Source organism: Homo sapiens, chromosome X (genome assembly GCF_000001405.40).
Source record: "Homo sapiens chromosome X, GRCh38.p14 Primary Assembly".
Taxonomy (NCBI): Eukaryota; Metazoa; Chordata; class Mammalia; order Primates; family Hominidae; genus Homo; species Homo sapiens.
In genome coordinates, this window is record NC_000023.11 from 153,333,777 (window position 1) to 153,360,418 (window position 26,642).

Sequence of the window (26,642 nt, forward strand, 5' to 3'; positions counted from 1 at the left end):
CCATTCATACAGAATACTGGCTTTCCAGTCTTCGCCCTCAGTTCCCGACCCTTCACTCCCCCCACCACCATCTTGAAGATGCCCAAGGGGGAGAGGTCCCTTCCATTCCTTCGTTCCTTCCTTCGTCTGCTGGTCGATTTGTTCGCTCGTTCATTCATTCATTCGCACGCTCATTCCACTCCTCCCCACCTCCACCCAAGCGTCCAGCCCGCGCGCGCCGCTCCCCCGCAGGCTGATCAGACTTGCCTGCCCAGTCCGCCCCCGCCCAAACCCCGCCCCCTTCCCGCCACGCCCCCTTCCCGGGCCAATCGGGGACGAGACTGGGGCCGGGGCGGGGCCTCGCTCCCTCAGAACCCCCGGCGGCGCTCACGGCTCCGGAAACGCGCCGCGGGGCTGTTAGCTCGGCTGGGCACGGGCGGCTCCGTGGCGCTTCCTGCCACGCCAGGCCTGCCTGGGCCGCGCCAGCGCCGCTCCACCGAGGGCCGCGCGTCGGCCGCCGCCGGGCCTGGGTGAGTGTGCGGGCCGCGGGAGGATGTGCGGGGGGCGCTGGAGGGGCCGCAGGGCGGAGGTGATCGTGGGGGCGGCAGGAGGACGTGTGGACCTGAGTGAGCGTGCAGGGCCGCGAGAGGATGTGCAGGGGGTGCAGGACTGTGTGCGGGGCTGGAGCGAGTGTGCGGGCCGCAGAAGAGTGCACGGTGGAGGGAGGGGGCGTCTCTGGGCAGTTGGAGAGCTGCTCGGCCTTGGGCGGGCCAGAGCAGGGAACGGGTCCCGGATGACGAGTACGAAGAGGCCCGAAGGCCTTCCCGAGGCGGGCGGGGGGCGGCGATCCCGGGTGGGAATCGCTAAAGTGTAGAGGCCTGCTCTGCTCTTTGGGGGACGCTAGGAGATGGGAACCGCTCAGGGGCGGAGAGAAAGGACCCCTGCCCCTAGCTCCTAGGAGCCCGATCTGGAGGGGGCATTGTAGGGGTGGGGGTTAAAGGACTTTTCCCTGGTCTAGGGGAGGGACTGAGCCGCAGTCTGGGAGCTGGGAGGGTGGGCCAGGTGGGAACAGTTCCCGCTGGGGAGTCCCTCCTTTCCTTTTGAGTGGGTGGGAGTGGGGGGGGGCGGTTAAGCCTCAGCTTGGTGGGGAGAATGGGGGCCGGTAGGTAGCCTAGAGAGAGAGCTGTGGAGAGGCAGGGGAAAGGGGGCGGTGAGCCGAGCTCAAGGCCCTCTGTCTGAACCAGTCTTTTTCTGTCGCCCTACTGGGGGCCGCCATCTCCCACTTCAGTGCCCCCGCCCCCTTAAACTCCTTTGCTGGCTCCTCCAGTCTATATTTGGGTGATTAATTATATATCTTTTCCACACACACCCCCCACTCGCCTGCCGCCCAAAGTCCATGGTCCCTTTCAAACAACCCCCTGCCCCCATTCCTGGCCCACTTCCCAGAGGTCCCACCCTGCCACCTTGTTCCAACTGAAGCCCTCCAGCCAGCCTTGACCTAGCTGGGCATGCGGCCCCCTCCAGTCTCCTTAGTCAATGAAACATTTCCTCTTCAACCTCAGCCCGACATTTTTCCTTTACAAGAGAATTTCAGATGGGATTGCTGGAACAGCACCTCCCCTAGGTACTAATGCTGCCTCAGCCCCTCCCCACCCTCACCTTCCCCCAACCCTGCAACATTGGACCTTCAAGTAGAAGCCACTTGCACAGTATCTGGCCCAGTTCAGTACATCCCCACAAAATGTTACTAGGGGGATGTACTGAACTGGGTCAGACACTGAGTTTTATATATAGAACCCTATTGAGCAGTAATTTGCAGCCTTCTGTCTGTGAGGGACCCCTTGGAAATCTACCAGAACTTGTGAATTCTCTTCTAACCATCAGCACAGACTCAGAGATAGTGGGCTCCCATTTCAGCAGGTTCCTGGGCAGGAATCCTGTCAGTAACAGAGATTCTGAGAGTTGGAGAATCTGGGAACCTCCAGATTCTAGACAGGCCCAGTGTTAAGGAGGTGCAGCTCTGCATCATAATCTCCTGGGGTGCTTGTTGAAAAATGCAGACTCCTTGGTCTCTCCCAAACCTGCGAAACTCCCACATGAGTTCTTAGTGAACTCCACACCAACTTTCTCACCCAGTGATCCAGCCCTTACCCAAACCTGCCTGGGCTCCTTGGATGGCCCTGGGCTCTTTGCAATTTGCATAGCATCCCACCCCACCCCCAATTTCGACCTTTGTATCCAGGCGATGTTACCTAAAGGAAGCTATACTTAAAATTTATTTCGATTTTTAGTAAGATGCCATGAATCTTCTTGGAGAAATGGGAACACAAAGCTTTCCTCAATTAAGTACAACAAACACTACAAAATCCCCTTCTGGTCTACCTTCTGGCTTTTTATAGAAAGGAAATAAGATAGAAACCCAAACAGAAAGAGACAGGTGCCCAGGCAAAGTGAGAGGAAACAGATGCCTTCCCACCCACACATACAGAAAAAGGCACACACAGACACAAATACCCCAAGAGAGACAGACTTTCCTGGTGAGACACCCTCTCTTTAGGCCCTTCAGGATTCTGCTACTTCGAGTAGCAGCCTGTTTGCTGCTTTGGGACGGGACGGGATGGGCCCACGTGGGGCCTTCACTTCCGCCTCCTGGCCTGTCAGGTGGAAAGAACATGAAGGCCAGGCTCAGCGTGGCCCAGGGCTTGGCTCAAGGGTTGCATCCTGGCCTGGCTAGGGTGGATCCAGATCGTGGCAGTATATATTCAGTTGAACCCTGTATCTGGCCCAGTTCAGTACATCCCCCAAAATGTGGGGGACATGTTCCTGGGAGGTGCACACAGGTCTGCTTCTGTTCACCTGAATTATTGCAATCCAACAGATGGGGCCTTACCTGCCAGGCTGATCCCTTGGAGTAGTTCTGAGGCATGATGAGTCATCCGTGTGTGTCTCTTTTGGGTAAGTCTGGGTGTTTATGCATGGTGTCTGCTGGCTTTGACGCTGGGCATGCTATCAGAAGACCCTATAGGTGGGGTTACAACATGGTGAGGAGTATCGTTTTGGTTCCGGAAGCACTTATATTTTCATCTGTGCCACTGTTGCTGAACTGTCTTTGCCCAGAGACAGTTCTCTCAATCCAAGCAATACAACTCACAGGAGAAAAGATATTCAGGAAAGAGAATCTGGAGTCTAATCTCCCTTTTGGATGGGAGAGGGAGCTGAAGGCATCCATCTGAATTGGATCTTTTGTGAGTGGAAACCTTTGAAGACACCCGTTGCTCTGGCCTAGAACTGAGCAGAACACAAGCCACCTGTTGTCTTCTGGGTAAACTCAAGCTTTAGGGCCTGAGGACATTCTGCTCCAGGTCTTTATTTAGATGCTTCAGAGAGTCCAGGTGTTTCTGGCACCCCTTGGAAGCTTCTGGAACCTTCCAGAGGAGCCTTATTTGGGTGGTCTTGCTGCCTTTCCCCTGCCCAGGGAAGGACAGCGCACCTGTTAGAGAATGTTGCTTGGCTATTTGTGCGATAAAATCAGTTGAACGCTGGTCTTTAGGCTCAGAAGCTACCGTTAGCCAGTAGCCAAACATCCAGCAGTGAGGCAGGGATGTTCTTAATCCAAAGGCAACCAGAAAACATCTCATTATTACTACATTTTGTGACGTGGGTTGTTTTTTGTCTCTGTTGAGTTCAACTCTTCATTTCTGTTCTTCCACATCAAAGTGGAATGATTATTTTGAGACTCTTAGTGTTTTCTGTTTCCATGCAGTAAATTTGATTTAAATAAGTTGGTTAAAATTTACATTGTGATCTAAAGCACGTTAGCAGGAAGATTTGTTCACTCACATGAGCTTTCATGTTTTAGAAAGCATAATTTTTCAAATTATCAGGCAGTAGGTTGACATTGACATCACTATTTTCCATTTATTCTAGCAGATGTTTGTTAAACAGCTGCAGTGTAATGGTGCTTGCCTAGGTCCAGTGTGCAATTCACAGCTGACCTTGACAGGGCCTTTGCTTTCTGGGAGTTTATAGTCTTTAGACTATCTTCAGATCCCATTGAAAGAAGGAGAGTAATACCACTTACGTTAAGGGTTGGAAATGTGTTTTTCCACAGTATTTCTTTGAGCTTTCATATTTCCCAGTTGTATGTAGGAGTGCACCCTATGAGATTCAGGACATGCTTTTGTGCTGTGAGTGAAAGTGCCTCACTTCAGGGTCAGCATTACCCTGTGTGTCCATTGGGTGTGCATTACAATGATTTTCATGTTCTGTCTGGAATTCCTTCGACCTTGATTCCCCAAGATCCACTGTCAGAAGGCAGTGGACACCTGCGTTTGTCACTTTTGTCACAGCATCCAGCTTCTTTTCCTGATTAGTTCCACCATTTTAAAATAGAAGAGTTGTGCAACATGGACCCTAAATGATCCGATTGTCTCTAGGATTGATGATAATTTTATTTTGAACTGCAGTAGGGATTAATGTGTTATCTTTTTTTAATGATCTTCCTTTGCTTCTCATGCAGCTCTTTTACCTGATATACTTGATTGATTAATTATGCAGAGTTTCGTTTCCTTTTGTGGAAGCAGGGCCCACTTCTTTCCTCCCATTTTTATGAGTACCTTTTAAATGATCTCCGTGTCCAGGGCTCTGTCACTGTGGGTGGTGATCACGCAGCCACTGAGAGCTAAAGTACTCTCAGGCTAAGTCCCCTGCATGAGCTGCTACAGGAAGGGGCACTCCTGTTGCTGCACAGGAAAGGATTATTAACAATTCATTTGGGGGTTGTGGCTCCAGGATTTCAACAGTTAATCATGCCAATTAAGTAAAAACACTTCAGTAGGATTTGCCCGATTAAGTTGAACACTTCAGGAGGATTCACTCAATTAAATGTGGGTGGCTTGGGAGGACTGTGTGTGTGTGTGTGTGTGTGTGTGTGTGTGTGTGTGTGTGTGTGTGTGTGTGTGTAAGAGACAGAGAGAGACGAAGAAAGAGAGAGAGGAATGGCATGTCTCGTTGTGCAGTGAGGGCATGTTAACAGGATGGTTTAAAGGCAGCACCCAAACACCCATATATACCATTAGGCCTAGATGACACTAAGCCTCACCCCCAGTCTGTCTTCTGGCTGTGGCGTGGTGTTATAGGTTGGATATTATTTCACTCTTCTCTGGTGTGGTTTGAAAAGTCTCAAATCTTGGGAGCTAGATATTAAGCAAGTTTACCTCTTGGAGCCCTGGTTTCCTTCTCTGTGAATGGAGGCGGTAATAACCGCAGGATGTGGTAAGTGAATTACAGGAAGGGAGATGCATGTCTCCAAACACGTGTAGTGCATGCTCCAGGGATGGAAGTGTGCTCCATTTAACATGCCCCTCCCCACACACATTGATTCAGTCACCCCGCAATTTATCACGTACCCACTCAGGGCCAGGAGCTGCTGCAGACACTGGGGACTCAGGAGTGACCAAGAATGAGAAAGTGCCCCTGCGCTGTTGGAGCTCCATATCTCCTGGGCACTGTCAGTTAGAAACAAGCAATTTCATTGGATAGTTTTTAGTTAGCAAAAGTGTTCCAAGTAGACTATGACGGGGACTAGAGAGTGAAGGCATTCTAAGGAGGTGACATTAGAGTTGAGGCCTGATGTGGGCCAGGCGCAGTGGCTCACACCTGTAGTCTCAGCATTCGGAGATTGAGGTGGGAAGATGGCTTGAGCCCAGAAGTTCGAGACAGTCTAGGCAGCATAGTGAGACTCCATCTCTACAATTTTTTTTTTAAGTTAAAATATTAGCTGGGCATGGTGGCACGCAGCTGTAGTCCCAGCTACTCAGGAGGCTGAGGCGGGAGGTTCACAAGCTTGGGAGGTTGAGGCTGCAGTGAGCTGTGATGGCACCACTACACTCCAGCCTGGGTGACAGAGTGAGACCCTGTCTCAGAAAAATAAAAATAGAGTTGGGGCCTGAATTCTCAGAAGGAGCCATCCATGAGAAGCCCATGGTATTCTCAGCAGTTTCAGAGGCCTTGAAGGCCACAGTCTTGGCCTATCGAGGATTGAATGAAGGCCAGTGTGTCTGGATGTCACTGCGATGTGGCAGGGCAAGATAAGGAATTGGGGGGCTGGGCCAGGGCATTGTCAGAAGGCTAAGTTCTTAGGTCTCTGGCCTGAGGTCAGCGAGAAGAGGTCTCTAACAGGTCCTCTTTCTCAGAAGGTGTATCCACAATATCCCCCTCTACATTCTGTTTGGCAGCCAAACGTCAATGTCAATTGGAAGTGAATTTTTTTAAATGAATTGTGTAAGTAATTCATGACCAGTTCATTTTGTACTGGAAGCCAAAGTCAAATCAGACATCGAATGTATACCAGAGGAATCCAACGGACCAGCAGGGCCCTGCCCGGGTGACAGTGGGACAGAGAGGGTGTGGCTGCTGAGCACCCGAGGATGAACACGATCTCACACTGGGGAAGCCCCTGTGCCAGACAGCCAGTTAAAGATGGGAATGGGGCTGCCTTGGACTCTGGGGCTAGATGAGGCCTTCTGCCCGCACTTCTTAGGTGCTGATAGCTTGCAGGGAGGAGCCCAGGAAGTCACAACCCCAGGGGCCTGTCTCTAGGCTTTCTGGTCATTTCCCTTCATGGACCGCCCATAGATTCCTGCCAGCCCTTCTCCCCTGCACTTGCCTTGCTGTGTAGGGATCCCAGGAAATGCTGGGTTTTTTACCCAAGCAGAAGGGCTGCTCCCCATTGACTCCTTGGCCTCAGCCCTTGGCTTCTCACATGCTGAGCAGCTTTCTTACTCAAAGTCTTTTAAAAGCAAAATATTTTACAATTGTTATGCTTTTCTGATACCAAGAAAATTCAGCTTGGTTACTAAAAATTCTCACATTACAGAAAAAGAAAGCAGATCTTTCTAGACCTTGACTCTCCCCAACTCCAACCCCATGTGGTCACATACACATTAGAGATGTGCTTATTCTAGCTACAAGTCACTCTCACTTTTTTCCTTTTTTCTCCTAAAATGCAAATATATACTTAGCCATCTCCTCCCCTCCCCTTCCCTTACCCTCTTTAGGTTTTCAAGGGAGAAGTAACTATGTCTGCCTGTATCATCTACGAAGGATTCACATTTTTGTCATCTGCAGCACATCATCCTACGTTGGCACCTGTTGGTTTTATATTGAAACCCTCCAGTTTTCTTCCTGCTGAGTTCTAGGACTCTGGTAGTGTCTCCAGAGCTCTTAGCCACATCTGTCATTCATTCTTTCCCCCACTTTTTTATGACATTGGGATTTTTTAGACTCTTTCTGTTGGTTCTAGTATCATGTTTTCCATTCTCCATCTGTTTACTTTTAACTTATCTGTGTCTTTATATTTAAAGTTTCTTGTAGACAGTATGTCTTGTTTTTATTACAGCCTGACAATCTCTGCCTTTTGATCGAAGTGTTTAGTCCATTTACACTTACCTTAACTATCCACGTGGTTGGGTTTAAGTTTACCATCTTGCTATTTGTTTTTATTTGCCTCTTCCATTCTTTTTTCCCCTCTTTTTCTTTACCTTTCTTCTTTCAGATTATTTTTAGTACATATTTGATCTCTGCTGTTGGCTTATTAGCATGTATCAGAGTCTTGGAGGACTTGTCAGAACACACAATCATATGTTTTACTTCTGATGTTATAAACCCCACACTACCTTTTTATTACTTTTGCTTTAAATGATTAATTGTTTTTTAAAAGATTTAAAAGTGAGGTGGGTAAAAGCATTGTATATTTCCCCACATATTTACATTCCTGGTGTTCTTCATGCCTTTGTGTAGATCCATCTTTCCACCTACTATCATTTTCCTTCAACCCGAAAGATTTCCTTTAGTATTTCCTATAATAGAGATCTGCTGGTGATGAATTCTCTTAGCTTTTGTCTGAAAACAAACTTTATTTTGCCTTCATTTTGGAAGGAAATTTTCCTTGAATATAGAATTCTAAGTTGACAGTTTTGTTTTTCTTTTAGCACTTTAAAAATGTCATGCACTGGTTTTCTGACTTGCACATTCTCTGATAAGAAGTTAGTAATTACTCTTTGCTCCTCTCCACGCAGCAACATCATTTCTTTCCTCTGGCTATTTGAAGACTTTCTCTTTATCACTGGTTTTACAGCAGTCTGATTATTATGGGTCTTTTAAAGTCTTGCTAGGGGTTGATTGACTTTCTTGGACGTGTGAGCTTACAGTTTTCATCAAATTTGGAAAACTGTCCTGCCATTATTTCTTCAACTGTATTTTTCATCCCTCCCCCCACTTTTCCTCACCTTCTCAGGTTCCAGTTATGTAGGTGTTAGACCACTTTCTCTTACCCCAGGTCATTAAGATGCTGTTTGTTTTTAAAAACTCTTTTTCTCTCTGAGCTTCATTTGAGATCATTTCTATTGCTATGTCATCAAGTTCTCTAATTTTTTTGTGTGGTATCTAATCTGCTGTTAATCACATCTAGTAAAATTTTCACTTTAAATATCATAGTTCCCACCTCCAGAAGTTCCATTTGGTTCTTTTTATATCTTCTATTTCTCTCACTATATTCCTGTTTTTCTTTTAATGCTTGTACATCATTAAACTCGCTGTTATCCTTGTCTGTGAGTCATCACTGGTCATTTCTGTGTGTTTTTATTAACTGATTATTCTCCTTGTCCTGGCCACATTTCTGTGCTTTTTGGCGTTTCAGTAACTTCTGATTGGATGTTGGGTATTATAAAGATTATATTATTGAGTGTCTGGATTTGGGGTGGTAGTTACTTGTGGATCAGTATGATCCCTTTGAGGCCTATTTTTAAGCTTTCTTTGAGACAGGTCTTTTGTAGCTTTGGCTCTAGGAATAGATCAGCCCTACTACTAAGGCCTCTGGATTCTCTGCTGCATGTCCCAGGTGATCACAGAGGACTCTCTATACTGGTTGATCAGACCTTGAATGTCTCCCTACCTTTGTGTGTCCTGAGAATTGTTCAGCTTACAGCTTCCTGGTCACCCTTTTCCTGGGCTTTTGGAGTTTCACTCTATGCATGCATGGGCCTAGTAGTCAGGAAAGACTCAAGGGGAGGCTTATACAGATTTTTTGAAGCTCTTTTTACTGCATAACTAACTCCTTTCTGGAACTCTGCTCTGCAACTTCCAGCTGCCTCAGCTGCTCTGAATGCTGGCCTGTGTCTCCTCAACTTGGCGAAGCCACTAAGCTCTATTTGGTTCTCGCCCACCCCAACACACAGTCTCGATCTGGAAATTGCCTCCAGGCAGAGAGCTGGGGCAATGATAGGGCTCCCGTCATCTGTTTCTCTTCTCTTGGGGATCATGATTCTGTGCTTCCTGCTGTCCAGTGTCTGAAAACTTGTTTCACATATATTTTCTCCATTTTTTTCTACTTATTTATGGCACGATGTGAAATCTGTTCCTTGTTACTCCATCGCAGCCAAACGTGGAAGTTTCTGTCCATTCTTTTTCACATAACATCTTTAATTTTATATAAGAGTCTTTCTGGAGTAGCTGGATTTTGTGGGCCTTGAGCCAGTGTAAGAGCCTTCCTTTTCACTGAATTATGAGTTGAATTGAATTGAATTGTCATCACAACAGGAACTGTGTAGCTGTTTCTTAGAATTCACTGAAGTGGGAGGCCTGTGATGCACGGATGCCGGTGGTTGAATCTTTCACATATTTTGCAATTTGGAAGAAGAAGATAATTTGTACAAATCATTCAGCTCTTTTATTTAACAATTTAGTGTTTGAAGATCTTTTCTTTGAGGCTTATTTTTCCAGCTGTTTTGTTCCACTTTTCATTTGGGTTGAACACGTTAGAGAACTGCTGTCATGTGTACCTGTCTTGCTGTCACCGGGCTCCTTGTGTCAGTGGGCTGTGGCTTTTAAGGGCCTCACTGCTGGTCTAGAAGCCCCCATTCCTGCTCTCTTCCCTCCAGCATCTTCATCCGGTTTTTTGTTGCCTCTACAAAGTTGGAAAGGGTCTCTCATTTCCTGGTTATTTCTTCTGATGATCTTGGTGTGCCTCCTTCCTGTGCAGCATCAGCATGGACTTCTAGGCTTGCCAGTCTCCCTGCCCTTGGCTTTCTGTCTAGGTCTGTCTTCTCCTAGCTGTGCCTGGGCTGGCATCTGCTGGTCTTGTCTTGGCTCCCTCTGGCCTGCCTCTGTTCATTCTTTGCCAGGCTACTTTCCCCATTGTTCAAGATGTGTTTTCTCAGGCATCTCCGTGCCCTGGCTTGTCATTCAGCCAGCATGTGAGAGAAGACTCAACAAGATCAGAAACCAAGGAAGAAGAAATCACCAGTCTCTTCCCAGGGGATCCAGGGACAGGGCTGTCGTCACTCATGGCCTTTTTCACTTTCTTTAGTTCCACCTACTCCCCAAGGTCTTACCCTCCCCAGGATGGAGCCCCAGGAAACCAGGTCCTGGCAGTCCCTCTTGAGATGCCAGAGGCCTAGGTGAGCTGTGCTTCCCTCTGCCTTGCTTGGGATTCTCTCACCGCTCCCTGAATCTGGCCTCAGCCTCTGTCTCTTGCCCCAGCATGACACACGGCAGAGTATGAACCCCAGCTGCTGCCTTCCTACCCTCCCTCTGCTTCTCTTCTGGAGGCTGCCAAGGATTGGATGTCCACTGGGCTTGGAGTTCCAATCATCCAGGTGGGGAAGCTGAGTTTCCATCCAGGAAAGTGATTGAATGGAGGTCCCTTGGAAAGACGAGAGGCCAGGTCCATGGCCCAGGGATCCTAGTGCTTGATCAGGTTCTCTTTTCAGGACTTCTTGGAGCTGTGGTTAGGCCTCCATGTTAGCAACAGACACCCACTCCAGACCCTCACCTCTTGACCCTGGCATTACTGGCGCTGCCCCTGCCTCATTCTAAAATAGATGGAAAGACTGATGAGCCCTGGGAATTCTTTCAGGATTTGGTGACATTTGATGATGTGGCATGGTACCTCACCACAAGGGAGTGGTTTAAGCTGGACCCTGAACAGAGGGCACTGGAATATTATGGGAACGTGACCTCTGTGGGTAAGGATGTCCCAGCCCTTCCTCAAATTCACCACCTTCTTGGAGTGGGGCAGGGGACACATGGCTACCCCCACAGAAGCTCACCTTCTCCCTGGGTTGTGGGGAAACACAATGGGTCTGCCACACCTGATATGTCAGAGTAGTATGAGCTCCCCCAACTCCTCTTGGCATGGAAAGAACCCCTCTCAGTCTTTTACTGGGAAAGAAATTAGAACACTGCCACTGTAATGTAGAATGCCCTTTTCATTTTAATGCACAAATTATGCAAATTGCATGGCCATTTGGTTTGAGTTTATTTGTGAGAAAGGTTGACGTGATCAAGATCTTGTTCACCCATTAGGGGTCTGCATGTGTGCAGTGGGGAGGAGGTTTTAGGAGGAGAGACGTTGGGAGTCAGATTTGGGAGCTGTCGAAGTCCACGTGTCTGGGAAGAGCATGAAGTTAAATGTGTGAGCTCTGAGTGGGTGGACAGAGAGAAGACAGGGTGAAGATCACCTCCTCAGGGTGGCCACTTGATACTCCACAGAGCCTCCCCAAGGTGGGCCCAGAGGCTGCCTTCCTCAAGCTCCTGGAAGGAGCCTGACCTTGGGAAACACCTTTGAACTGAATGAATGACTTGCCTAAAGCCTGGTCTTTGAAGATTGAAGGGGGTTCCCCTTCAAAGGCCTTGCCTATGTTCCTCCACTATTCTCATGTCATCTCTGGCTGTTGCCATAACCAATCTCCTTTCCCATGAGCAGGCGTTCCTGTTTTAAATCCTGCCTTGGTCCCTCACCTGGCACAAGGACAAGTGCTACTGGTGTCAGACCCATCGCCCAACACTGATCCTGCTAAGTACTCTGGTGAGTGAAAAAGAAATGTGAGGAAATTGGGGGAGACCCAACCAAGCTGCTATGGGGCATGGGTTAGGGTTGGAGAGCCCAGCTGAGCTGTTAGGCTTCAGGTTAGGGTTGGGGGTCCCAGCTGAGCTCTTGGAGTTGAGGTTAGGGTTTGGGGGCCCTGCTGAGCTCTTGGGCTTGAGGTTAGGGTTGAGAGAAACAGCTGATCTCTCAGGGGTTTGGGTTAGGGTTGGGGGCCCAGCTGAGCTCTTGGGGTTGAGGTTAGGGTTGAGAGGATCAGCTGGCCTCTTGGAGGTTTTGAGTTAGAGTTGGGGGGTTCCAGCTGAGCTCTTGGGTTCGGGTTAGGGTTGAGGGACCCAGCTGAGCTCTTGGGGTTGAGGTTAGGGTTAGGGGGTCCAGCTGAACTTCTGAGGTTGAGGTTACGAGTAGAGGGGCCCATTTGGGCTCCTGGGGTTGAGGTTAGGATTGAGAGGATCAGCTGGGCTCTCTGGGCATTCAGGTTAAAGTTAGGACCCCAGCTGAGCTCTTGGGGTTGAGGTTAAGTTTGGGAGCCCTGCTGAGTTCTTGGGGTTGAAGTTAGGGTTGGGGGGCCCAGCTGAGCTCTTGGAGTTGAAGTTAAGGTTGGGAGGGCTCAGCTGAGCTTTTGGGGTTCTAGTTAGTGTTTGGGGCCCCAGCTGAGCTCTTGACGGTGAGGTTAGGGTTGAGAGGATCAGCAGGGCCCTTTGGAGATTCGGGTTATGTTTGGAGATCCCAGCTGAGCTCTTGGAGTTACAGTTAGGGTTGGGGGTCCCAGCTGAGCTTTTGGAGTTCTAGTTAGGGTTTGGGGCCCCAGCTGAGCTCTTGATGGTGAGGTTAGGTTGAGGATCAGCAGGGCCCTTTGGAGATTCAAGTTATGTTTGGGGATCCCAGCTGAGCTCTTGGGGTTGAGGTTAGGGTTGGGGGACCCAGCTGAGCCTTTGGGGACGTGTGTGGCTGCTCTCTGGTCACAGAAGGGGTGACCTCCTCAGCACCACTGTGGTAGAGAGTGTCCAGAATGAGGTCCCTCTGCCCCTGGCTTCTGCAGTCCTTGCTTCTGGTGGCTTCCGGGCCCAGGCCCCGTGCTCAGTGGCTGTCTCAGAAAGAAAAAGATTCTTGACAAAGGAGAGGCCCTTCCCTCCTTCATCCTCTGCAGACTACACTGCCTTGTGTTTATCGTTTCAGAAAGCACCTCCGCGACCCGACACCAGATGAAGGGGGAAGATGCCCAGCCACAGGAGATGGCGTCCACAAGCTTCCCAAGGGCCAGTGGTCCCAGTCCTGAATTCAGACAGCACGGGGACTCTGACGGGAAGAGAGGGAGCCCACAGAATCTGCCCATAGAACATCATTTTGCTTGTAAAGAGTGTGGGGACACCTTTCGGCTTAAAGTCCTGCTTGTCCAGCACCAGAGAGTCCACAGTGAGGAGAAGGGCTGGGAATGTGGCGACTGCGGGAAGGTCTTTAGGGGGGTGGCGGAGTTTAATGAGCACAGGAAAAGCCACGTAGCTGCGGAGCCCCAGCCCGGCCCCAGTAGGGCCCTGGAGAATGCCGCGGAGAAGAGGGAGCAGATGGAGAGGGAGGCAAAGCCCTTCGAGTGCGAGGAGTGCGGAAAACGGTTTAAGAAGAATGCAGGCCTGAGTCAGCATCTGAGGGTCCACAGCAGAGAGAAGCCCTTTGATTGCGAGGAATGCGGGCGGTCGTTCAAAGTCAACACCCACCTCTTCCGACATCAGAAACTTCACACTTCGGAAAAGCCTTTCGCCTGCAAGGCGTGCAGCAGGGATTTCCTGGATCGCCAGGAGCTTCTCAAGCACCAGCGCATGCACACTGGCCACCTGCCCTTCGACTGCGACGACTGCGGCAAGTCCTTCCGAGGGGTCAACGGGCTGGCCGAGCACCAGCGCATCCACAGTGGGGCCAAGCCATACGGGTGTCCCCACTGCGGCAAGCTCTTCCGAAGGAGCTCGGAGCTCACCAAGCACCGGCGGATCCACACGGGCGAGAAGCCCTACGCCTGCGGCCAGTGCGGCAAGGCCTTCCGCCAGAGCTCCAGCCTCCTGGAGCACGCACGCATCCACAGTGGCGAGCGGCCCTACGCATGCGGCGAGTGTGGCAAGGCCTTCCGTGGGCCCTCTGACCTCATCAAGCACCGGCGCATCCACAGCGGACTGAAACCCTATGAGTGCGACAAATGCGGCAAGGCCTTCCGCCGGAGCTCCGGCCTCAGTCGCCACCGGCGGATCCACAGTGGGGCGCGGCGCTGCGAATGCAGCCAGTGTGGCCGCGTGTTCAAGAGGCGCTCGGCACTGCAGAAGCATCAGCCAACCCACCACGAGTAGAAACGCCCTGTGGTCCCGCGGGACAGGGACGGAGTCCCCAGAGGGGATGGCAGAGTCAAAGGAGATGAACAGTTTTGTAGCGCTTATATATTTTGTCTTCCAAAAGGTTGAGACCGATTTATACTGCCACCAGCAATTTATAAGTGTTACGTTATGCCCATCAAGAGTAGCTTGTACCATTTAACTTAGTTTGGCTAGTTTAACTGGTAGGAAGTACCATCAAGGTATTTCAGTCCACATGCCTTGAATCCAAGAATGAGAGAGGACAAATCTGGATGTGGGGTAGGGAGGGGCTTAGAGGTCATCAACTCCAAGCTCCCCCCGCCCCAGAGAAACACACAGAGCTGTTCCACGATGGCGTCCTCATAATGTGATCCCAGCTTTCCTGAAGAGAACGTTGCCCTCATGATTTTTGGCCTACTTGAATTTATAAATTTTTAGGGATGTAAATAGAACACTCAAATGTCTTAAAATATTTAATTTATTAATTTAGTTATACATACATACTGTAAATCACATATTATATAAAATAATATATTAATTTAGAAAATACCCCATTTTTGCCACCCTCCCTTTCACGAAATCATTTTACTCTGACTCCTCACCGTCTTCACCAACATGGGAACCCTGTTTGAGTCATCAGACAGTTTCAAGACACACCCAGTCACTTCCATCCGAGCTCTGCACGGTCGCTCAGTGACGATCCCTTCATGAGGCTCTCATTAGAAATTTTCTCCCAAGCCATAAGACCATATTTGCAGAACATTAGGACGATTTCTCTTGTCGTTTTTTAATCTGTCCTGTGACTGTACAATATAACCACTTAAGGTCATACTTTTTCAAACAACCTTTAAACGTCTTTTCTTTTAAAGCACCCAAAATGTCATTGTGAGGCCAAACGCCTAGTAACAGTTACTGAATCTGGGTTAAATGTCGGTATCTTTTTTTCTTAAACCATTTCAATTTGGTGTCCCCTATACATATCCAAAACTAGCATCGATTGGGGTTGTTTTGAACTAATGGGTCTTGTCCTCAAGCAGCACTATTTTGTTCAAAATAAAATAGTTGAGAGCATGCCCCTAAGAAGAGATACATCTCAAGGACTCAAGTGCAGGGTGACGCCTCCTTTTGGAAATGAGCCTCTCCTGGTATCAGGCCTAGATGGTACTTCTCCAGCCTTCCGTTTCTTGTTCTATAAAACAGGGGTGATCACAGCACCTACCTCCGAAGGTTATCACGAGGACTGCCATCGTGGCTGCAGAGTGCCAGGACCACCGGCCTGGTATGGAGGTACACACTCAGTGAAGGCCATCTGCTGTCATTGTCATTGTCATAGTTATTGCCGTCATTCTGTGGCTTGTCAATTCCAGAACTGGGGATAGACCCCAGGCCTCCTGACCACCAGTCTCATCTTTCTCTTATGCGATGACTTAAATGGTGTTTCTGTTTTTTGCATGCAAATGGTCCGTTCATCTCCTTTGACTAGTTATCAACTTACCTTCGGATATATTAACTTTATGTAGCAGTTCTTTCTATATTGATGGTGATGTTCTCTTTTCCAATTTTATTGCTTTGCTTTTTGTAGCAGTTTTATTACGTTTTTGTTGTGAAAGCTTTTAATTTTTACATATCCAAGCATTCATTTTTTGTCCACTCAGTCATAACTTTCATTGCTTCTGTAGCTAGATATGATGACATTTTCTCTAGAATTTTAATTACAAACAAAAAGCTGCAACCCCAGCCCATCAGAAGGTGAGTACACCAGGTGGGCAGGCTGGATGGAAATGGGCCAGAGAAGCAGGCTCTTTCCTCATCCGAGATGCGGACTCCCTGTCTATCTGTGGGCACCACTTGACTATCCAACCTGACCACTGCGGCACACTGGAGATGCTCCCATCATAGATTAGCCAGAACTCTGTGACTGCTCATCATTATAGACCCCGCCAGCAGCAGTGGGGCTTGGCCTCACCTAGATCAATGGAGTGGTCCAAACTTGGTCTGGGAGCAAGCAGCCCAGCCATCCTTTGAGCTCCTGGGAGCCTTGGCAATGCTCCGAGTGGATTCAGTGACTGAGCAGCAGATTCACCCAAGAAACATCTCCTTGGACACAAGAAGACTTGCCTAGACCACATCCTCCTTTCAGCCGGTGACTCTAGAACTAGAAAGAGATTGGTTCATAGGCTTCTGCTGTGGGCAGCTAGGGGAAAATTCACCCATGTGTTCTGGCATCACTTCCTATAGCCACACCTAAGTGAGGGCAACAGAGCAGAGGCTCGGAGAGGAACCCTGCCCCTCCGATGGCTTGTGCGTTATGCTGATAGAAGCTGGCAGCACTGCCCTGGGCTATGATTTGCAACAGCCATGCCCAGGAGGAGCACTAAAGCAAAGGTTTGGAGGGCAGTGGAACCCTTCTGAAAGCCTGTGTGGCATAGAAGTAGAAGCTGGTCCTCCTGGGTCTGAGCTACCATTTCCAGTGGGCTCCCCCAAGAGGAACAGCAGCAAGGGCTAGCGAGGAACCTGCCCCTCCAGTGGCCCACAGAAGCCACAGATAGAAGCCAGCCCCACCAGGGCTGTGCTGTGACTTCCCAGCAGCTGTGGCTGGGGACAGGGACACTAGGAGGGCCTGGCAAGGAAGTGTGCCCTTCTCGTGGGCCCACCAAGGCTGAGGCAGAGCTTCCTAGCAGACACAACTTGGAAGGGCTTCTCAGGCACCCATCCTGACCCCCAGGCTGGAGAGGAGCCAAAAGCACTTGTTACATAGTGATTCCTTTTGCCCTGTGGGCCTCAGTTCTTGCAGTAGTTGTGAATCTGTGTCTGAAATCACTACTTTCTTCTCGGATCCTTTTTCTCTTTTCGAGTTGTTAGGATGTGTTTTGTACAGCTGTCATTTGATAAAGAAGGTTGACCTCTACCAGGGGCAAGTCTGGCACCTTTACCTAGAAGTACTCTGCCATGTCTTGCCCGTTCATTTATCGTTTGTTGGGTTTCATGAGGGATCCCATTGAAGTAGATCCCTTTTATGAAGGGATCCCATTGAATGCAGCATTAACTCAGAACGTAGCATAAAGTCGTCACTGCTCCCAGCTGGGACGTGGTGTCTTGGCATCCCTTCCTGCCGTCCTTGACTCTTTCCCATCTTCAGTTCTATAATTTTCTCCCAAACAAATGCTCTTTTAGAGTTAACACTAAAGATCTGGTCTTTGCCGTCAAGGTTGACAGAACAGCTGTTCATGGTGTTTGCGGTGAAACCCGTGTTCTCTTTCAATGCAGTCTGTGGCTTTAACGTGTGTCCTGTAATTTCGCCAAGATCATTTCTTGCCTCTGGTAACTTGGGGGTGGATTTCCTTGGGCTCTCTAGGTGTACTGCTATGTCAGATGCAAAATGTCACCCAGCTTCCTGTCACATATCCTTGTCTGTGCATTCATGCATCTACCTCATTCCGGTTTTCTTTCTAATCTCATGTATTCCTGTTGTGAGGAAATGTGTTCTTTTCCCGATCCTTTTGTAGTTCATACACATGACAATTGGGTTTCCACGCACGTGCATGAGATGTTCCTCCTTCAAACCTTGTTACTATGTCAGCACATTAACTGCCTGGCATGGAAAAAGAAAAAAAAAAAAGAAATATGTTCTTTTCCTACCATTTGAAAAAAATCCTCCATTGCTTTTATTAGAGTTTTGAATACTTGTGAAAATTTTCAAAAGAAAGTAATTGATTACCATTTTTGCTGCTTATTACGATGAGCTGTGTCCATTAGCTGTGTCACCCCACTCTTGCATTTCCAGAATAGTCCCTACCCAATTGCAGCGGGCATGTTTTTGAGTGGTGTTGCATTCCATGTGCTTGATTTTGTCCTAGAACTGGCACAGCGCCTGCCCTACCTGCAGCCCTGGGTTGTGGCCCTGTTGCGTACCATGTGATTTGCCACCCCGCTTCTAGGCCATATTAATTCAGCCAGAACTGAACACCTGACCCAAGGGCAGCAAGCAATCATCAGAGCATAGAGCTGACAGAACATGATGGACCACGGACACCACCAGGCCTTCCAGATCTGAAATGCAAACAAGGAAACAGAAGCTTCTAGGCATCAGAAGGTGTGGGGAGCAGCACAGTACTCAGAGGAGTGAGGAGCGTGGCGCCTGCTGGGAGGAAGGCCTGGCCATGGTATGTTCTTGGATTTCTGGCAGCAGCCCTCATTGGTCCACGTGCGTCCCCACTACAGACTCCTTGACTTGAGCCAGCTTGAGTGGGTCTCTACTCTTTTCTATTGTGTTTTGCCACTTGGCTGCTTCCTGGCCAAGTCGCACCTGACTGCATGAACACCTGTTCAAACGTGTGTTCTCTGTTCTCTAAGATGGGTGAAAGTCGATGCCTTCTAGTCTCAGTGAATTTAACCTGTGATTTTATGTCTACGTATATTGTTCCTTTACTGAACCCACCACATGCGGGCCATAAAATGAGTGAAATCACAGTGCACCCTGTTCTCTTATTTTTGAAGTGTTTCACGATTTCCAGCATGTCCATCAGATGGGGGGATTGCTAACTTCTCTCTTACTCATGTACTTACATTCTGTAGTTCTCATTGCATCACTTTGGATGTTTACTTTGAAAAGCAGAAACTGTCTCTTTAAACTTGGCCCTCAATGTCATTTGCGTATCTCTGAGAACAATAGCTATGTCCCACCCCAGTTTGTATTTCCGTTGGTTGTTGGCACTTTTTTCTCATTCCCCCATCTCATTACCTTGTCTGTTTTCTGGCACTCACTATAATCAGCCTTGCACTAGAGCTGTTTGTGGACTTGGCTTCACCCCCTCCTCCTCAGCCCTCCCCCACCCATTAAATTGTGAGCTCTTAGAAGACAGGGGTGGCCTTTCATGTCTGATCCCCTACCAAATCTAGCACAGTGCCTTGCATCAAGTAGATTTCAATAAATATATGTTAAATGGCATTGGTCTTCCTTGACGTCTTTTGTCAAACCTTCATTTACCACTTTCCTTGCTCCTTTCTCCATGCCATGGGGTTCTATACTTGTCCTTGCACTTGGAAACTGCCCCCTCCTGGGGTCCAGGTGCTGTTGTGGCCCCTGCTGGGAATGTTATTCCAGTGCTTGCTGGGCACTTGGAGGGAAGAGGAAGCACCCTGATGGGGAGGCTGGTTTGCCTGGAACTCTGAGCTCTCCCTTGGCAGAAAGGGGTCTTTCACTCAGCCTCCCCTCACCGCAGCTAGGGCTCCCCAAATCGGAATTCCAGGTGGGAGCAGAAGACAAGGCCAGATCCTCAGCTCCTCCCTCAGGGACTGGGAATGGGATAACATGGCTTTGGGACTTGAGAATCATCCCTAGGCTGCATAGGGGTGGGAGCAGGAGTTCGGTCCTCTTGGTGGCCTGTGGCTGGCCCTCTGCCTGGTGACCACTGCCTCAGAGAAGTCAGGGGCAGGAGCAGGCCCCAGTTTCCTGGCCCTTCTAAATGCCAACGGCTCAGCCGTGGAGCCAGCAGCCCAACTGCAGAAGGACATCCCATCCCTCCGGCTCCGGGATGCACATCCCGATGGGAGCCAACAGGAGGAGACAACATGACTCTCTCCACTGCCCCAGTCTCCCTGGCTTCTGGCAGGGGCCCATGCTCATCACAGCTGTCGATTCTCCTACCCCAGGTGCAGCTCTGGGTGGGTGGAGCGATACCACCCCCCTTGACGGTTGCTTCCTACTTAGCAAGGCAGCCACCTCCCGGTGCGTCCACCCCCAGCCAATGCCTGCCCCGGCCTGGCCCAGCCCTTGCCGCTTGCAAGTCACTTAGTTGCTGGAAAAGCATCATTATGTGCTTGTTACTGAGAATTCTACCTGTTTGTTTTTTCTTAAAACGTGTGCAAGCTGTTCTGGCAAGTCTCAGATGTGCATGGGTCCATTTGGACAGCTGACACTGCACCCAAGGCAGGAGGGGACAGCATGGGGTTTTCTCTGGGAATCCTATGAGCCCCTAGTAGAGGATTGAGAATATTCTCTCCTGCCCCTCTCCTAGTTCCCCTGCCTGCCTGAGCACTGTAGCTCTTCCAACACCACCCTCTATAGAACAAACGAGAAGGCATCTGAGGAAACGGGATGTGCCTTTTGGCTCTCCTCCCTGGTGGAACATTAAAAAATCCAAGATTAGTGGAAAGATCACATGCTACACCCTAGAAGTCTCTTGCTGGCCTGAGATTCACAGTCCCAAACCCCTAATCTCTGGGCCAGTGTCTGCAGCCCTGATTCCTCTAGCCCAAATTCCCCATCACAGCCCTCCGCCCCAGCCTACCTCTCATTACAGGAAGGACAGGCCAACAGGTAGAAATGGGGGCTTCTGCTTCCATGCCCACTGCATTTTAGCTTCTCCTCCCCAATACTCTCCCAGCTTATTTTCCTGAAGCTTCCAGAGCTGTGTCTTTGTCCACCCTCACTAGTCTCCAGTAGATGTGATGCACCTTCTCGGCTAAAATGCATTTCATTCAAAAGCTCACTGCATAATAAAAACATGGCCTGAAATCTTTTTCGGGCAAGATGTGTCAGAAAAACTCTCTGCTCTGTCATCCCTTTTCTGACCTTTATTCAACAAGTATTTATTGAGCACCTGCTCTGTGCTGGGCCCCAGAGATGTAAAAGCAAGTGACAAGGTCCCTGCCCTCAAGGACAGAGTGCCAGAGAGAAACAGACATGCAGCCAAAATGTCACCACAAGTGGGGCCTATGTAAATGTTCACCAAGCTGTGCTCCTGGGTAGGATTTGTGCACTTGAGTGGAGGCAGGTTACACAACAACTACCAAGCCAAATGCATACAACATTAGTGGATAAATCCCCCCACTCCCTCCTCAGATGCTATGGGGTTTTATTAATACATTCCTCTCTGGCACCTCTCCATCCCTGCCCCAGCCCCGTTCCATCAGCCTCACTGGCATCCCTGTCTCTTTGCCTTGCCTTGCCTTTCTGGACCCAATCCATGTTCCTCTCTGCACCTGTCGACCTCTGGGGGAGGAAGGCAGCTCCAAAGGGGTGGTCCTCACCCGAGCCCAGCAGGCCCCACCGTGCTACAGAGAGTTCTTTACTGTAAGGTCGGCCTGTCACCTCAGCACTTTCAGAGGTGGGTGGGGCCAGCACCTCAGGGTGCTGTGAGCTGGCTGGGCTACGTCACTCCTGGGATACTGTGCTGCTGGTTCTCTGTCCATCCCAGTCCTCTGCCCCATCTCCTCCAACAAGCCAGCTTACCCCACAAGTTTAAGTCTGTTCATCCCTTTCTTCCCTATCGCAAATTCTGCAGTCCTGAGGTGTTTCCTCTGGGCCTCTACAGTCCAAGGGCTTCTGGCACCACCACCCCTTATTGAGCTGTTTGTCATTGGTGTCTACAGGTGTCTCCCTTCCCCCACAGAAGTCTCCTTCACCTTTGAACACCCACCTGCTGGATGCCACAGGGGCCCAGACAGAGAGGGCCCTAACCACACCCTGCCCCCAACCGGGAAGAGGCCCCTCCCTCCTCCCTGGGCTCCCTGTGCTGCCAGACCCTGACCCCACAGCCTGGGAGGGGCTGCAACCCCAGACATGGAGCCCCCTAGGTAAGGTGGGGCAGATCTCCCTGGACCCCACCAGACACTGGGGCCCTGGATGAAGATGTCTTTGGAATTCATGAGAGGAATCAGCTCTCCCACCCAGGGCCATGTCCTTGGGGATGGGACAAGTGGGACAGAATGTAGCCTAAGCCTGGGCCTCCCCTCACCTCCTGCACCCCCAGATGGAAGTGGTGGAGATGATGGATCAGATCGTCCACGGGTGTGGGAGGACTCATCAGGACTGGGCCAGCCCCAGCTCCAGGGGGCCCCAGCCACAGAGCCCATGGCATTGTCCATGATGCTGCTGAACCTGGCAGAGCAGCTCAGGGAGGCAGACAAGGAACTGGCAGGCAAATACACAGAGCTGGGGAACTGGTGCACTTGGAGGATTCTGCAGCTCATGCAGGTTGGAGGGGCCTGGGGACCTGGGCAGCAAGGGGCCCTCCACTCCCCAACTCCCCAGGGTGTCCTCGGGCTTTACACACCTGAAGAGAGAGACATGGGGAGGTCCCCACCTGAGGAAGGTGGAGGGCTCAAGGGCTGGAGGGAGGGTGCGGAGCCCTAGGCAAGGCCTGACAGCAGGAGACCCTCCAGATCAAAGTCCCTCCCAGGCCTCTGGGTGGCCACTGCACAAAGGTGCTGACCTCCTGGTTGGAGGTAGCAGGTGAGTGGCAGGTGCCTGGAGAATGGGGATGGATGAGGCCTCCACCATGGCTCAGAAGGTCCCCAAGGTCAGGAGCTGCCAAATAGGAGGGGCCAAATGGTGGAGGTTGGGGGTGTTGCCCCTGAACCTCAAGAAGCCTCAGGGCACCAAGCCCACTTTGGAAGGGCAACAAATGCCAATGACCAAGGCCAAAGCCCAAATTTCACCATCGGGGAATGAACTTCCAAGATTCAGTAATAATTCTGAAATTTATCTCTGGTATGGTTTGGCTGTGTCCCCACCCAAATCTCGTCTTGAATTCCCACATGTTGTGGGAAGGACCCAGTGAGAGGTTCAATTCAATTACCATGGGGGCAGGTCTTTCCCATGCTGTTCTCAGGATAGTGAATAAGTCTCACAAGATCCGATGGTTTTTAAAAGGGGCGTTTCCCTGCACAAGCTCTCTTCTCTTGTTTGCTGCCATGTGAGATGTGCCTTTCACATTCCACCACGATTGTGAGGCCTCCCCAGCCACGTGGAACTGTAAGTCCATTAAACCTCCTTCTTTTGTAAATTGCCCGGTCTCGGGAATGTCTTTATTGGCAGCATGAAAACAGACTAAAACTAAGTTGGTGCCAGTAGAGTGGGGTACTGCTGAAAAGATACCCGAAAATGTGTGTGGAGGAAAAGTTAAATATTAAATTTGAACTCAATTGAACATGGACACAAACAATGGTCACCAAGTCCCGGAACAGGTTGTGTGAGCCCCTTGAGACATTCATCCACTGCTGTGTCAGAGAAATCTCCATTTCAATCTGTTCCTATACATTGAAAAACAATAGACAATCGCAAAAACAAGTTGACCTTTTTGTGTTCCTTGAGCCCAGTCGTGAAGGGCCCTCGTGACTGGGCCTCATGCCAAACAACTCGTTACAAAAAGAGCTAGGGTCCCAGACTGCACCAAAGCTTCATGAGACCTCTCTTTGTCTGTGCACAGATGAGTGGCCAACTCTGGAGCCCAGGATGTTGCTTCCCAGTCTGGTGGTGAATCCTCCACAATCTGGTGAGTGTAAATATATATATTCCCTTCTCCCCTTCCCATTGCAATTTGCTTATTGTATCAATCTGCTTATGATATCATTTGCTTATTATTATATCACTTGCTTATTATATCTGCATTGCCATTTACATGGGATAAAGGTTGTTTACCCGTAAAGGTATTGTGTGTGTATCTTTTCTTCTCCCTTCACGCGTTTCCTGCACAGAACAATGTGGAAGTGACTTTGGAACTGGGTAAAAGGCAGAGGTTGGATTCCAAATTTTGAAGGGCTCAGAAGAGGACAGGAAAATGTGGGAAAGTTTGAAACTCCCTAGAGACTTGTTGAATTGCTTTGATCCAAATGCTGGTAATTATTATATGGACAATGAAATCCAGACTGAGGTGGTCTCAGATGGAGATGAGGAACTTGTTGGGAACTGGAGCAAAGGTGACTCTTGTTATGTTTTAGCAAAGAGACTGGCAGCATTTTGCCCCTGCCCTAGAGATTTGTGGAACTTTGAATTTGAGAGAGATGATTTAAGGTATCTGGTGGAAGAAATTTCTAAATAGCAAAGCATTCAAGATATGACTTGGGTGCTATTAAAGGCCTTCAGTTTTAAAAGGGAAACAGAGCATAAAAATTAGAAAAATTTGCAGCCTGTCAATGTGATAGAAAAGAAAATTCCCTTTTCTGAGGAGAAATTCAAGCTGGCTGCAGAAATTTGCATAAGTAACAAGAAGCCAAATGTTAATCACCAAGACAATGGGGAAAATGCTTCCAGGGTGTTTCAGAGACTTTTGCATCAGCCCTTCCCATCACAGGCCTGGAGGGCTAGAAGGAAAAAATGGTTTTGTGGGCCAGGCCCTGGGTCCCTCTGCTATGTGCAGCCTAGGGACTTAGTGCCCTGTGCCCCAACCACTCCAGCTGTGACTAAAAGGGGCCAAAGTACAGCTCAGGCTATTGCTTCAGAGGGTGGAAGCCCCAAGCCTTGAGAGCTTCCATGTGGTGTTGAGCCTGCGAGTGCACAGAAGTCAAGAATTGAGGTTTGGGGCCAGGCATGGTGGCTCACACCTATAATCCCAACACTTTGGGAGGCCAAGGTGTTGAGGTCAGGAGTTCGAGACCAGCCTGGCCAACATGGAGAAAACCTGTTTCTACTAAAAATACAAAAGTTAGCTGGACATGGTGGTGCAAGCCTGTAATCCCAGCTACCCGGGAGGCTGAGGTTGGAGAATCACTTGAACCCAGAAGGTGGAGGTTGCAATGAGCCAAGATCATGCCACTGCACTCCAGGCTGGGTGATAGAGCAAGACACCATCTTAAAAAAATAATTGAGGTTTGGGAACCTCCACCTAGATTTCAGAGGATGTATGAAAATGCCTGGATGCCCAGGCAGAAGTTTGCTGCAGGAGTGGGGCCCTCATGGATAACTCTGCTAGGGCAGTATGGAAGGGAAATGTGGGGTCAGAGCCCCCACACAGAGTCTCTACTGGGGCACCACCTAGTGGAGCTATGAGAAGAGGACCACCATCCTCCACACCCCAGAATGGTAGATCCACTGATGGCTTGCACTGTGCACCTGGAAAAGCTGCAGACACTCAACACCAGCCTGTGAAAGCAGCCAGGAGAGAAACTGTATCCTGCAAAGCCACAAGAGTGAAGCTGCCCAAGTCCGTGGGAGCCCACCTCTTGCATCAGCATGACCTAGACATGAGACATGGAGTCAAAGGAGATCATTTTGAAGTTTTAAGATTTGACTGCCCTGCTGGATTTCAGGCTTGCATGGGGCCTGTAGCCCCTTTGTTTTGGCCAATTTCTTTCATTTGGAACAGCTGTATTTACTCAATGCCTGTACCCCCATTGTATCTAGGAAGTAACTAATTTGCTTTTGATTTTACAGGCTCATAAGTGGAAGGGACTTGCCTTGTCTCAGATGAGACTTTGGACTGTGGACTTTTGAGTTAATGCTGAAATGAGTTAAGACTTTGGGGGACTGTTGGGAAGGCATGATTCATTTTGAAATGTGAGGACATGAGATTTGGGAGGGGAGAGGGCAGAATGCTATGGTTTGGCTGTTTCCCCACCCAAATCTCATCTTGAATTCCCACATGTTGTGGCAGGGACTCAGCGAGAGGTAATTATTCAATTACAATAGGGGCAGGTCTTTCCTGTGCTGTTCTCGTGATAGTGAATAAGTCTCACAAGATCTGATAGTTTTTAAAGAGGTGTTTCCCTGCACAAGCTCTCTTCTCTTGTCTGCTGCCATATGAGACATGGCTTTCACCTTGCACCATGATTGTGAGGCCTCCCTAGCCACGTGGAACTGTAAGTCCATTAAACCTCCTCCTTTTGTACATTGCCCAGTCTTTGGTATGTCTTTATCAGCAGGGTGAAAACAGAGTATTACAATCTCCAAACCTAACTGTTATTATAATGTAATGATCCATTTTCATCCTCACTTTCAGAGCTGGCCCTCTGGTGCCCAAAGCAGACTCCTGGGGTCCCTGTATTGGGCACTTACCCACTTCCTGCTGGCCGCAGCATGACACCTGATGCTCCTAGAGCAGCCAACTGAATTCCAGAAGAAAGGCTTCAGTGGTGTGTTTTCCAGAAGGAACCTGGCTCCTAGGATTAACAGTTGGGTCAAATCTCAAAAACTCTTTGCCCTTAACTACTGAAAACTTCCAGCATCTATAGCAGTCATAGTCACAAGATTTCCTTTAAATTTTTCAGCAATTGTTTTCCTAAGGCATTCTGTAAAGTCTGGCTTGAAGTTTGTTTAGTTGAGATAAAAATGTGTTTGACTGCACTCCAGCCTGAGAGACAGAGTGACATACTGTCTCAAAAATAAATAAACAAATAAGTTTTTTAAAACATGTTTGAGAACCACATTTTTCTCCAATGCTTTATTTTTTTCTTTAAATTTTTATATTCTTTATTTTTGGGGATTAGAGACAATTTATCAAAGACACAATTGTACACAGCTTTGGAGTTTTTCCTTCTGGAGATTCTTTTTTTTCTTGCAAGATGAGAATTCCCCATGGTGCTCTTTCTGAAGACACTTATGACTTAAATGGAGTCAAACAAGTAAAAACTAAATTCCATTCTTAAAGTTCCTTCATTCAGTGCTGCAAACGCTGGTGTGCCAAATCATCGAGTGAGATTTTTTATCCTGTTCTGTGTTA

General features: G+C 49.1%; 1 protein-coding gene, 1 long non-coding RNA gene and 2 other non-coding genes across 5 annotated transcripts, besides 4 other annotated features; all 4 read left to right on the plus strand.

The window, feature by feature from the left end:
• Positions 171 to 540: a silencer, noted in NCBI's record as "silent region_21059". NCBI's record gives its function as "represses an Ori minimal core promoter by ATAC-STARR-seq in GM12878 lymphoblastoid cells {active_cell/tissue: GM12878}" and the evidence as "EXISTENCE:reporter gene assay evidence [ECO:0000049][PMID:35858748]".
• Positions 377 to 19,150, plus strand: ZNF275 (zinc finger protein 275). Of its 2 annotated transcripts, NM_001080485.4 has the most exons (5): positions 377 to 509; positions 2,858 to 2,934; positions 11,744 to 11,845; positions 13,043 to 13,879; positions 13,978 to 19,150. In NM_001080485.4, the coding sequence occupies exons 2-5, from the start codon at positions 2,904 to 2,906 to the stop codon at positions 13,995 to 13,997; spliced, it is 990 nt and encodes a 329-aa protein (NP_001073954.3). In that variant the 5' UTR covers positions 377 to 509; positions 2,858 to 2,903; the 3' UTR covers positions 13,998 to 19,150. The 2 variants fall into 2 exon arrangements, with proteins under 2 accessions (NP_001073954.3, NP_001354686.1); NM_001367757.1 differs by having other exon boundaries at positions 13,043 to 19,150.
• Positions 631 to 710: a silencer, noted in NCBI's record as "silent region_21060". NCBI's record gives its function as "represses an Ori minimal core promoter by ATAC-STARR-seq in GM12878 lymphoblastoid cells {active_cell/tissue: GM12878}" and the evidence as "EXISTENCE:reporter gene assay evidence [ECO:0000049][PMID:35858748]".
• MIR12129 (microRNA 12129) lies at positions 1,686 to 1,761 on the plus strand. The gene has a single exon (NR_162143.1). It is a non-coding gene; the product is annotated as a microRNA 12129 (primary transcript).
• Positions 7,955 to 8,249: a silencer, noted in NCBI's record as "tiled region #13180; HepG2 Repressive non-DNase unmatched - State 16:ElonW". NCBI's record gives its function as "represses a minimal TATA promoter and a strong SV40 promoter by Sharpr-MPRA in HepG2 cells {active_cell/tissue: HepG2}" and the evidence as "EXISTENCE:reporter gene assay evidence [ECO:0000049][PMID:27701403]".
• Positions 13,522 to 14,022: an enhancer, noted in NCBI's record as "H3K27ac-H3K4me1 hESC enhancer chrX:152612756-152613256 (GRCh37/hg19 assembly coordinates)". NCBI's record gives its function as "activates a minimal SCP1, AML or CMV promoter by ChIP-STARR-seq in naive H9 embryonic stem cells {active_cell/tissue: H9 hESC(naive)}" and the evidence as "EXISTENCE:reporter gene assay evidence [ECO:0000049][PMID:30033119]".
• On the plus strand, positions 17,697 to 17,800 carry LOC124905279 (small nucleolar RNA U13). The gene has a single exon (XR_007068442.1). It is a non-coding gene; the product is annotated as a small nucleolar RNA U13 (small nucleolar RNA).
• LOC105373378 (uncharacterized) lies at positions 18,253 to 26,333 on the plus strand. Its single transcript, NR_135656.1, has 3 exons — positions 18,253 to 18,365; positions 23,415 to 23,480; positions 25,923 to 26,333. It is a non-coding gene; the product is annotated as an uncharacterized LOC105373378 (long non-coding RNA).
• Positions 26,334 to 26,642: the final 309 nt, after the last annotated feature.